The following is a 12,115-nucleotide window of genomic DNA, read 5'->3' as shown; positions in this document are numbered from 1 at the left end:
TTTTTCTTTGTTCTTGTGGAAACTTTCCTGGCTGCTTTGCCAAATACCAGTTTTGATGTGTAGTTTAAATAACTTTAACTTTTTCTGAGAAGCTTTCTGACTATTTTCCCTCTCTACCTCCCTTCCAGACACAAATATTGATACTTAAATTCTGTGCACCTAACATAATGTTCATGCCTTCAGCTATTCAAAAAATATCTATTGAATGCCTCCCAGGTCCCAGAGACATTTTGCTAGAGGTTAAAGACAGATATGTCAAGAGGATATGGCATAGCTCTGACCACATGGCACTTGCAGTCTAGTAGGAGACAAACACATCAATTGAATTATAAAACTAATGAATGTATAAGGAAGAACCATCCAGAAGAAAGAGCTCACTTGTGCTAAAGACTTGAGGCTGGAGGGAAGCTGGAATGATGGACTGATAGACAAACTTATTGAAGGTTACTATGAAGGGAGGAGAGAGAGAGGGGAAGAACAAGAAGAAGAGGGAGGAAGGATAGGGAAGTCCAGATCCACTGGGTCTAATGTTAAGGTTTTTGGAATTATTCTAAATATAATGGAAATCTGGGGACTGGCTGGCTTGATGCTCCGTAAGGGGTAAGACTATTTTATTAATCACTGCCTCCGCAGTTACCAGAAAAGTGCCTGGCATGAAGGCTTATGGAATGAGTGAAGGAGCTAGTGAGTTAGTGATGTAATGAGATTTTACTTTACAAATGCCACTGGGCTGTTATGTGGAGAATGAATTGCAAGGAGGCAAGAGAGGCAATGTATATAAGCCAAAGAAATGTGTAAGTCACATTTACACATTGTTAACTACACAATTAACATTTACAATGTTAATTGCAACCCACTTGGGACCTCACTGGCCTGTGGCAGTATAGTACAATAGTTACAAATAATAGAATTACAGCCAGACCATCCTGGGTTCAAATCCGAGTACTGCTACTTATTAACCAGCAAGACCTTAAAATTGCTTTGTACAGTTGTTTCTTTATCAATAAAAAGCGGCAATAATAGTAAGTGCCTTTTAGAGTGTTGTGAAGAGTAAACTAAGAAGAAAGAGGAAGAAGAAAATGCTCCTGGCTCATATTAATAGTTCAAGGAATAAGAAGGCAGAGTAATATAAAGGCCACAAATACAGGTTCTTAAGTCAAACTTCCCAGGCTCAAATCCTGATTCTGTTACTTATTAGCTGTGTAACTTTGGACAAGTTCCTTAGGTTCCTTGAAGCTCAGCTTCCCAGGCAAAATAAGGAAATTAGTACTAAAGGTCCTTATCCAAAGTCCTTGGTATTAGATGTGATCAGGATTCAGAATTTCTTTTTGGATTTTTAGAAAGGCACTGCAGTGCATACACCATATATTTTGTAACATTCTCGTTGGATTCACAGACAACATCCCCATCATCATACTTCCTACTTCTGCAGTTAGACATGTACATACACAAACACACTAAGTTGAGAGTAAAGAAAAAAGACCATAGATCATAATTTAATTCAGAAAAGAATTATCTTCCAAATAAGTTGTGAAATAAACTGTGTATGTGCTTCAGCCTGTTTCTCAGCACCAGAAGCATAGGACTCTGCATAGAGATGTATTCAGCATATGTTTGTTGAATTTCCTCTCCCTAGATGATTTTCTCGTCCATCTGGTCTGATGAGATATCCAAGGTCTCAGCTCTCTAAATTGGTTTGTGGGACGGAATAAGGTTAGGGCAAGGGATTTACAGTGTAACAAATGCCCCAGAGTGGAGTTTCCAAGGGTCTTTCTGATTGCAACATTTAACACATATGGAAGAGGAGGGGAGATCTCCTCCAGTCCCACAGGTTGTAGGCTTCACCAGGAGGCAAGTTCCTTTGTCATTGCCTGGCAAGGAAGCACATAAAGTAGAGTCGGGTAAGAACTGCTTCCCTACCCTTGAATGTAATCTGCATAAAGGCAACAATCTGTTGCATGTTTTGCTGACTGGTATGTTCTAAGCACCAACAAGAGTGACTGGCTCATAGTAGACACTCAATAAATATTAAATGAACGAGAATGAGCATTTCTTAAGTATCTACCATGTGCCAGGCCATTTAGATAATTTATTTCGTTATCACATCATTCTTGTGTAGAAGGGTATATTCTCATATCCTTTTTACATCTGAGGAAACTGAGGCTCAGACAAACTCAAGCCCTGGCTTTTTCTTCTGTGTCTCACTGTATCAAGATGGGTGAACCTTGTGTCTGGTAGGTACTAAAGATTGAGGATGAGCTGAATGGTCTGAGAATATAGCCCTGTCAGAACCCGTGGCTTGACAAAAGCAAGCATCTCTGAGGAAACATGACTTTTCCGGACCTAAAATTCCTGGGCTGCTTGAGTCTACTTCTCTGAGTTGAACTTCCTGGGCCAAAGCAATGCCAAGTCATTGGCCTGTGGCTGTGCAGTGTCATCTTGCTGAGAAATGGCCCATGTCCTTCCATAAGCTCTCTTGGTCCCCAGAGGAAAAGGGAACCCTGTTATGTAATTCTGGCTCAGTCACTCACTGACTGCACTACCTTAAGCAAATCACTTTTTTCTTTTTCTCTTCAGTGCAGTTAAAAAAAAAAAAAGTAGTGACCATACTTGTCTTGCAGAGGTATGGAGAGAATCAGAGACAGAAAATGTAAAGGGTCTAGAGTAGATTCTGTCATATTAGTAAGCCCTCCTAAGTAGAAGCTGCTACTACTGCTGCTGTTTGTATTGTTATCTTATCTGAAAGTCTCCAGCTTGTCTGCAACATCACAGCTGAATTTTGGGACTCAAGATGGGGTGGGGGCTGTGTGCTGACATTAGTCTGAGAGTACTGTGTGGACAGGGACTCTGCCCTTCATCTCAGCACCCATGATATAGGATATGGTCCATAGTGGGATCACAGTACTCATTTGCTGAAAGAAAAGACTGATCAACAGGGTGGACATGGTCATTCTATTTCTATGCTTATAGCTCTGTAATGGGACTAGTGCAAAAAACAAAAATCGAACAATGTATATTCAATTACAGTCTCTTAGAACTGGGCAGTGCTTGAAGCAAATGCAAGTTCAGAGCTGTTGAAAACCCCAAGAACCACATGAGAGGTCTATGTTTGCTTGTTTGTTATGAAGTTTTATTTGTTTGTACTATCACTCTGCCTCTTTCATCCTGAGGGTTTATAATTGCTCAAAGACAGAAGATATTACATTCTTTATATACACGTAGGAAAAAGGTATGGAAATTACATGCCACAATGTCAAAAGAGTTTTTTTGAAGATCTTCCAAATTATAGTACTTTCACTTCTGTACCAACCTGTGGTTCCTTTAAGGACAATTTCCAAGCAGCCATGTCTCCATCTAAATTGAGAGCAAGAAGGACACATAAAGAAACTCGTGGCCATCCATCTCTTGGCATTTAGGAAGGGCCATAAAAGGGAAGGGAAATATTATTTATAGGCTTCTATTACCTGCTACATATCATGCTGTGTGCTATAAATACTTTCATTTAATCCAAGAATACTGCAAAAATTAGACACTTTCATTTAACTCAAGAATACTGAAAAGTTAGGCATCTCTCTTCCCATTTTACAAAAAAGAGACTGAGATATAGAAAAATTAAATATGTTCTCCCAAATAACATATCTAGGAAGTTGTAGTGATGTACTCTCAAAATTCTGTACTTTTAACCACTATATCACTGAATTTTTTCTTTTCTTTTTTTTTTTTTTTTTTTTTTTTTTGAGACAGAGTCTCGCTCTGTTGCCCAGGCTGGAGCACAGTGGCATGATATCAGCTCACTGCAAGTTCCACCTCCCAGGTTCACGCCATTCTCCTGCCTCAGCCTCCCGAGTAGCTGGGACTACAGGCACCCGCCACCACGCCCGGCTAATATTTTTGTATTTTTTTAGTAGAGGCGGGGTTTCACCATGTTAGCCAGATGGTCTCGATCTCCTAACCTCGTGGTCCACCTGCCTCGGCCTCCCAATATATCATGGAGTTTAACAACACTTAGTTAAACCCAGTAGTAAACATATTAACATACCTCTCCATCTACATTTTTTCTGTATCTATGTATTCTACATAAATAATATAATGTACACATATATGTGTGTGCGTACATATATACTAATGACTTCAGCTTTCTAGGTGTTTACAGAAAAACAAGTGGATAAAGTGGGTAGAAAATTACTTCAATATGTGGGTCTGGTCATAGATTTATATTTGCTTATAAAAGAGTTATGGGGTTAAACTTAGGGACATTAGGGTCACTAAAGTCTTAGAAAGCTAGAGCTAGAAGGAATATTGGTCATCGTCAAATTGAGTCATTGTCAACCTCTTTTCACTTTCTCTCTCTCTATTTCAGCAGAACTGTTTGTTCCAACACAATTTTAGAAAATTCCGATGTATGAAACAAAATAAAAACAGGTGGCTTAGAGATCTGGTTGAAGCCTCCTTCTCAACAGCCTCTGGGGACTTTTATTTTATTTAATTATTTACGAAAAATTAAGTGGAGTCTGGCTGTGTTGCCCAGGCTGCTCAAACTCCTGGTCTCAAGCAATCCTCTCACCTCAGCCTCCCAAAGGGCTGGGATGAGCTACCATGTCCAGCCCTCTGGGCACTTTTAAAGAGCCCTACAGCTTAAAAACCATGGATGTAGGACCTCTCCTCCACCCCAACTTTTGTCACCAGTGAGGAAACTCAAGACAAAGAAGTATAAATAAAATTTTCCCAGTCTCTTGGAAGCTTTTTACCAAAGGTGAGGTAGGACTTGAGCACTCAACTCAGAGCACTCCTCGTGCTTCATTCCAATTATTTATTCATATTTTTATCTTTCCTGCTGGAAGATGAAGTACGTGGAGGGCAGGGACAGTGTCTGAACTGTTCTCCACTGTATCCTCAGTACATAGCACAGAGCCATGTACATGGTAAGTGTTGAATGCAGTGCTGTTGAAGAGAGGATTGGATGGATGAATGCCAATTATTTTTGCCCAGTCTGGTGCTGCCATGCTGTGAGTTGATGATGCATGCAAATGATGGGTCAGTATACTCACACATGTGCATCCCAGAACTAGCAGCCTCTAACCCAAGACGCTAATTATCCTGAATAATTATCTCTCCCTCTCTGCACCTCTGCACCCCGAGGCCTATCCTCAGTCCACAGCCAGCAGCTCTTGTCACTCAGCTGTCAGATGCAGGGTTGTGTGTGTGTGTGGTTTTTTTTGTTTGTTTGTTTAGTTCAGCTGACCCCATTTATTGTTCAGTGAATGTTAAATCCATGGAAAAATCCATCATCCTTTCCTTCCTTCTCCAGAGCTGGGATATCCTCCTTTCTGTCAGTGACTTCAGAGCACTATCCAATAGCTTTCCCAGAGGTCAGCTTCAGCCAGAGGTCTTCTGTGAGCTCTGATGGCCTGGGGTGGGGACGGGGTGGGGAGGTGGACCGCACAGAGTCGGGAGAGGAAAGCCCATTCCCATTCACTTAAACCCATTCTCTACAGTTTAGGGTTGTCCTGGTTTCACCTTCCTGCTCTGCTATATTTCAAACTGAGAGTGGGGACAGAGCAGGGGAAGAGGCCTGAATCCGGGCCCCTAGCTCACTTTGGCTCAGAGATCTCAGCAGCGCGAAAGTGGGCCAGCCTGTGCAGCTGGCCTTGTCTCTCTTCTTGGCCAGGGAGCAGAGAGGCGCAGACTGGGGGAGCTCGAAGAACACATAGGCCCTCAGCCTCTTGCTGGGGTGGCCTCTGGGCAGTGTGGGCTGTTTTCTGTGGCCTCTAAAGTTAAAGGGCACTTTAGCCTTTTCAGTCTCTATAGACCCGTTTTTCTCTCTTACAAGCACCAATTAAAGATAATAGTTGCTCATGAATATCTGGGTATCACTTTATACAAACTAATTTTCCCAGAAGCTGTCATGAAAACTGAAGTTCATTTAATCTCCATTAGAATGTTCTGGCTGGCAGTTTCAGGGTTTGCAGTGCACAGATAATCTCACAGTTTCCCTCCTCGAAAGACCCTGGAAAATCAACAAGCACAGTGTCTCCTGCATCTCATCTGAGCATCACCTTCACAATTTTGCCATACCTGGGATATTATTAACTTAATGTGTTTTTCTTGAAATTGACTCATTTCTTTCTTTTCTTCTTTCTTTTTTTATTTTTGGTTAAAATCAATGATTTCAAAATGGAAATATGTAACACTACTGGTAAATGGAAAACCAGGATTACATGCCATAAATAGAAGATAACTCTAAAAATCAATACAGTGAAAACAAAAGAATTTTATAAAATTCTAGACAGATACTGTTGCCTCTGGAATGTTCTGAGCCAGAGCCTTGGTCTCTCTCTTCTAAAAAAGGGAGGCTGGCGAATGTTACAGAGGTGTCAAGGACATATTAGCACTAAAACAAGCCATCCTTCATGACTTAATTTGAAGCACTATAAGAAAATTAGAAAGTGTGGGAGGCTTCCTTTGCATTAAATGATTTGATTCTGATGTGTTCCACACTTTCGTAAATACCATGTAACACAATAGAATGATTTTTACTATGGAAAGGACCGGCTTCTGATCACAGCAAACCTGTGACAATGATAGGACTAGACTCTTGACACCAGATCCCAAAGTGGGTCCTCCCTGTCTTCTTAACATCCACCAAGTTGCCTCTTTGAAGGAAACAATTCACCTTCCACGTATAGGGTCTCATAGGTAAGGATTTTCTTGAGAAAAATATTATACATATTTTTCACAGCAACACTGTGTCTCTGTGGTATCATTACGAGAGATAATACATATTCAGCATTCTATCTACCACTGCATATTTTTCCATCATACATAAGAAGGACATGAGAGTTAAGTGAACTAATGTAACTACTATAGTGATAAAGTGATTAGGTAATCTGTGCTAAATTATAAAAACTAAAAAGTAAATAAGTCACAGGCATGTTGAACTTTGACTGTGGGTAGCTTGTTCATTTATTCATTTATTCATACATTCATTCATTCGTTCATTCGTTCAATGCTCACTGAACAACTTACACCTTTAGATGCATCCACCCATAGCTAATAGAAGACCCTTTGGAGGCTGATATCTTGTCCTTCCATAGCAGTTTTCTAAAACTTCAATTTTTGCCTAAGGTCAGAAAGTCAAAAGACAGGTTCACCCCAAATTTGACTTTCCCAGACTGTCTAAGAGAGGGAAAAGAGGCTATAACCTTTGTTGAGTACTGGCAATGTGGCTAGGTGTGCTAGGTAAGTGCTGTGGTCCCTACCTCATGCATGGAAAAGTGGAGGCCCAGCTGAAGTGATTTATCCATCACACCAGCCTAGGAAGGTAAAAGTTCGACTTGGGCTCAAGTCTTCCTGATCCCCAAGCCAATGCACTTTCTGCTACATCTCAGAGCTACATGCTTATAAACATTTTGAGAGTGGAATATTTTTCTCACATTTGTTTTCTGTTCCATTGCAAAGCCTAACACTGTCCTGGACACATCGTTTCTGTGCAGAAAATATCTGCCGAGGATAACAGTGACATAACAGAGGAAGGGAAATTGAAGTTCAGAAGAGAAAAGTTAAGGAAAACAAGCAGTGACCACTGGGCCAGTACTCTCTGGACTTCCCTCCCTCCGCTAGGGCTCTTTAGAGGTGAATGCCATAAACATCTAAAGTTGCACCTTTTTATTATTTTTAATTTGGAAACTAAAATGAAGTGAGGTCCGAGTGATTATCGACCATTCTTGTTTTAGAGTCAAAGGTAGACTTTCTGGCTTCTTCCCTGGCACGTCTGCAGGTCCACAGAATCTTCCTCAAACCAGCAAACCATTAAAAAAAGAAGAAGAAAGAGGAGGAAGGGGGAACTTGCTCTTAAGGAGGAGATTTTGCCTAAGCCTAACTCAGACATCTTTTAAGATATGCAGCCAGGGGAAGCCTTCAATTCTCTGTCTTACCTGGCCTCATCCTCTGATGCTGCCTGAACTTTCTCTGTAGTGAGTCTTTTCACCTTCAGTCCTGCTAGCCAACCTTGCTGCAACCTTTCCCATTCTCTTCATCACACTAATAATTTAATGGATTTCCACTGTAAGCCATAAAATCCCAAGAAAAGCCCTTGACTGCCCTGCAGAGGTTGTGCACGTCCACTGACTGTGCCCATGCAGCTTAGATCAGAGTGTCTGGCCCCAAACCTCATCCCTGGTGATGCCAAGTTTTAGGGCACCAGGCCTTGGGATCTTTATTTTTGCTTTGACTCCTGAGTTGGGCTTTTTACCCCAGAACACATAGCAGAGTCATCTAGCTGGTGGAGTACTGGGAGGAGAGTCAGGAATCAAGGGTTCAAATCCCAGTTCCACTGTGACTTGATATATGAGCTCTGATAAGTCTCTCCTTCTCTCCTTTCAAAATAATGTGTGTGGACTAGCTCAGCAGTTTTCAAAATGATGTTATTAGACTGTAGGCATACTTTGAGGCACCCCAGGAATCACTGAGAGAGGCAAATTCTAGTGGATGAGAGCTTGAGCCTACTAAGTTCCTGCTACTAGCAGAATGTTTTACCTTTACCTGTTGAGTTTTCCCATGAGATTTTATTAGGAATAAATAGTTCTATGTTTAAATAAAAGAGTATGAAAAACACTTATCCCCCTTAACTCTGACACCAATTTTCTCAAAGAAAATAAATAAAATGAGCAAAACACATTATTTTCCCAGTGATATGCCCTTTCTATGTAACAGATATGAGGCATGGGAAGGAAGTTAACTAAAAAAACACCTTACTCACCTCTCTGTGCTTTCACACATCCCATGAAGAAGGAGTTGTAGAGTCTTTAGTGTTAGGAGAGTGCTGTGTGCCAACTTTGGTCTCTGTGAGCTACTAGAAGAAGGAAGCAAAGTCTTCATGGATGCCTTTGCTTTATCTGAAAATTATTGCAATTAAGTATATGTATATGTGTATGTATATGTATATGTGTATGTATATGTATATGTATATGTGGCAGGCTACTTCAGAATCTTTTGGACATATCATTATGGATAGAGCTACAAATTTGGCTAGATAGCATTTTCCTTTTCTCTACCTCCCCTACAATTCTTCACAGTTCTTCCTATTTCCTGAGAATCTGAGACTAAAAGTTCCTGCTCCCGCACTCTCCAGCTTGATTTCTTACCCTCTCATACTGTCTTTTCTAGCCTTATTGAACTACAGTGTTTTTGGGAGAAATGAAGACTAAACTAGAATGATGGCAGTGAGGATGGAGGTACTGAGAGGTGGGATCCATGGGTTATGAGTGATGTGTGTTTGTGTTGTAGGGGGTGCTGGAGGAAAAGACAGTGGGCAGAGCGGATATAGGCACAGAGGGTTTAACCAAGACCACTGACTCTGAATGTTGGGGCCAGTCCCCCAAATGGGAAAGATTGGAGGAGAAGCAATTCCAGAGGAAAGGAAATACAGTAACTGATAGAACTGAGTCCCAAGGAGTCAGGAAGGGCAGGAGCTGGTTTTATAGAGGTTGAAGGTTGCTGTTACTCTCTCAAACATCCCTCTCCTAGTCTATACGGCCCAGATGAAACAGGACAGGAAGAAATTATGGGTGATGGCAGAATAAAGGGAATGGGATATGCACATTGATTTTCTCAGTGTTCTCAGTAAAAGGTAATTCTGAAGGAGGGGTAGACCAGGCTGAGAGGAGAGAGATAAGATTTAGATTAGGGAACAGGCTAAAGCATTTTGCAACATGTGATTCATTTATATCAGAATCATCAGGGAGTGCATGCTGATTAATGCAAATGACTAGGTTGGCCCCAAAATGACTGAACCAGAATTTCTGGGAATTTTTATTTTTTTACACTCTCCCCAGGTGATTTTTATGTCTACTAATATTTGAGACTCACCCTGATTGAGAATCTCTCTGGGATGTTGAAACCAACTGATTGTTTTCACCAAGGGTCTCCCAGGCCCTTTGAATGCCCCTTCTCTCCTGGCTCCACATCCTGGCTTCCTGTGAAAGGCAGAGCAGACAGGGTTTCCCTGAGTACATGCGGCTTCCTTTAGGCTGACAGTTGGGTTGCATTGTGCCAAAAGGCTGACATCTATTCATAACGGGAGCCAAGACTGCTTCCTCTCCTAGCAGGCAGCAGAGTCTTACAGCAAGGCCTCTAAAGGGCAGGAGAGTTTAAGCCCTAACTTTACCTTGTCCCAACCCACCTGCATCAGGTTGGATCTTTCTGCATTTGTCAGGGACAGGAATTCCTGCCTATCTCTCAGGGATATTAGGAGGAGGGAATGAGTTTTTGAGTGTTAAAGTTGCTGTAGATCTGCCAGCCTTCATTTCTTTCACGAGTAAAAGAGCAGAACAACATCCTTATATTGCAGCACTGTTGGACGCATTCTTATTTTCTCTCCCTTTTCCTCTCCCAATCCCCACCTTGCCCACACTGTTTTCAGAGAGCAACTGAGCTTCAGTTGAGTAATGTAAGCTACATTTTCTGAAGACCACTCCAGGCCAGACCCAGCACAGGATCCCATAGGGAATCCCATAGGTGACTCATGACAACAGCAAAGTAACTGTTTTTTAAAGCTGGCACTATGTTCCAGATACTCCTCCTGTATTATTGCTAGTAATACTTAAAACTATAATACAGGGTAAAATTGACAGGTTTATATTGCAGATGAAGATACTGTGCTTTGAAGCAGACAGATAGCAGGTGGTGGAAGCTAGATTGAAACCCAGATCTGTCACAGTTCACAGTTTATGCCCAGAGACGTTATATGGATGTAAATCTGGTCACGTAGAACTTCCAATTTTGTGGTCTGAGATAAAAGAGTCAGAGTGCTAAGTATTACAGGGGACAGACTGAACACTTGATGTGGAGTTGTAGAAGAGAGAGAATGATTTTGACTGTAGTGATAAGAGAAAGCCATTTGGAAAGATGGAATTAAAGCAGGGACATTTCATGTGGGATTTTTGTGTGTTTGTGGGATTTGAAAGATGCCTGTGGGTTCCATTGCGTAGGAGAGTGAGCACATCATAAGCAAAGGTGAGGAGTAGTAAATGTCTTAAGGTTGGTAATTGTGGTTTTTGCCATTACTTTTAATAAATGGCTTTATGGGTAGTGTAGAAAGCATGGAGGGGAACCATGAGTAGAGAGATATTACAGGGCCAGACTTGGGAGGCCTCAGATGCCATGTGAGGCAGGGTATCTGTGGGGAAGGGCACTCCAGTGGAAATGGGCATCAAACAAAGGCCTGGAGGCAGGAAAGGGCTGGCCGCTTTGGGAGTCATCTTGCTGTTCAGCATGTTGGGAGTACAGGGTCTGCTGCCCCATTTGTTTCCTACACCTAACCAGAATCGTTTCATAAAGGTTGCAGGGCCCTCTGGGCTGGGATCACCTTGCAAAAGAGCATCTATCCTGCCTCCTGCCTGGATTGAGCAAGAGGCTGGAAACAGGGTGAGGAAGTAGCAGCTGTGAGTCAGACCGTCCCCACGCAGGCTCCAGCCCTGGGCCTGGGGCCCCAGCTGGGATCAGAGCTCTTGCCCGGGTTGCAATTGCCAAATACGAACTGTACAGCCAAGTGTGGCTCAGAGCTGCCCTGACTCACAGGGTACTATCCGAGTTGCTCGTGCCTCAGTTGTGGCTTTTATTTCTTTTTGTCCCTCTACGTTTTACCCCTTTCTCTTCCCTGACCTCCCATTCCTTTCTTTTACTTCCTTCTGTTTTTTTTTTTTCATTTTTTATTTGCCCTTTTTTGCATTTCCTTCTTTCTTTATTTTCAGCTTCCTCCTCCTCCTCCTCTGATCTTTTTATTACTGACATTTTTGTGGTTTGCTTCAGATGACACAGGTTCTAGACCAGGCCACCAGCCGCTCATTATGTGGTTTTAAACTCATCCCTTAGTTTGGGGCCCCAATTTTCCCATCTGTCCAATGAGACAACTTAATTTGATGATACTTTAAAGACCAAAACCCATCAGAATTTCTCCTTCTAGAAGTCTCTGTTTCTTACTCCTTTATCTCTTTGATAGAATCCTTAAATGCAAAAGCTTACAGGGATCTCAGCATTTATTTAGGGTCATGGATCTAGACCCTGGTTGCCTACAGGAATCACCTATTGAGCTTCTGAAAAGTACTGCTGCCCAGAC

General features: G+C 41.9%; 1 protein-coding gene and 1 long non-coding RNA gene across 8 annotated transcripts in view, besides 1 other annotated feature; one reads left to right on the top strand and one right to left on the bottom strand.

Moving 5' to 3' along the window:
• The window catches only part of ASTN2 (astrotactin 2), a 991,946-nt gene that overhangs the window by 854,097 nt on the left and 125,734 nt on the right, over positions 1-12,115 (top strand). The gene's annotated exons all lie outside the window — the stretch shown is intronic.
• Positions 1-12,115, bottom strand: part of ASTN2-AS1 (ASTN2 antisense RNA 1) — a 58,011-nt gene that overhangs the window by 1,333 nt on the left and 44,563 nt on the right. The window contains exons 9-11 of the long non-coding RNA NR_033973.1: positions 9,868-9,974; positions 8,759-8,851; positions 3,311-3,354 (exon numbers count right to left, since the gene is read on the bottom strand). This is a non-coding gene — a long non-coding RNA (ASTN2 antisense RNA 1). The remainder of the gene's footprint in view (positions 1-3,310; positions 3,355-8,758; positions 8,852-9,867; positions 9,975-12,115) is intronic.
• Positions 9,914-10,083: an enhancer, noted in NCBI's record as "experimental_106460 CRE fragment used in MPRA reporter constructs". NCBI's record gives its function as "activates a minimal promoter by MPRAs in K562 erythroleukemia cells, with activity observed for the introgressed 9:119313242 variant allele {active_cell/tissue: K562}" and the evidence as "EXISTENCE:reporter gene assay evidence [ECO:0000049][PMID:34662402]".

The sequence above is a fragment of the Homo sapiens genome, chromosome 9 (genome assembly GCF_000001405.40).
Source record: "Homo sapiens chromosome 9, GRCh38.p14 Primary Assembly".
In the NCBI taxonomy this organism is placed as follows: domain Eukaryota; kingdom Metazoa; phylum Chordata; class Mammalia; order Primates; family Hominidae; genus Homo; species Homo sapiens.
Note: the sequence above shows the minus strand (reverse complement) of the source record. Positions and strands in the feature narration are given on the sequence as shown.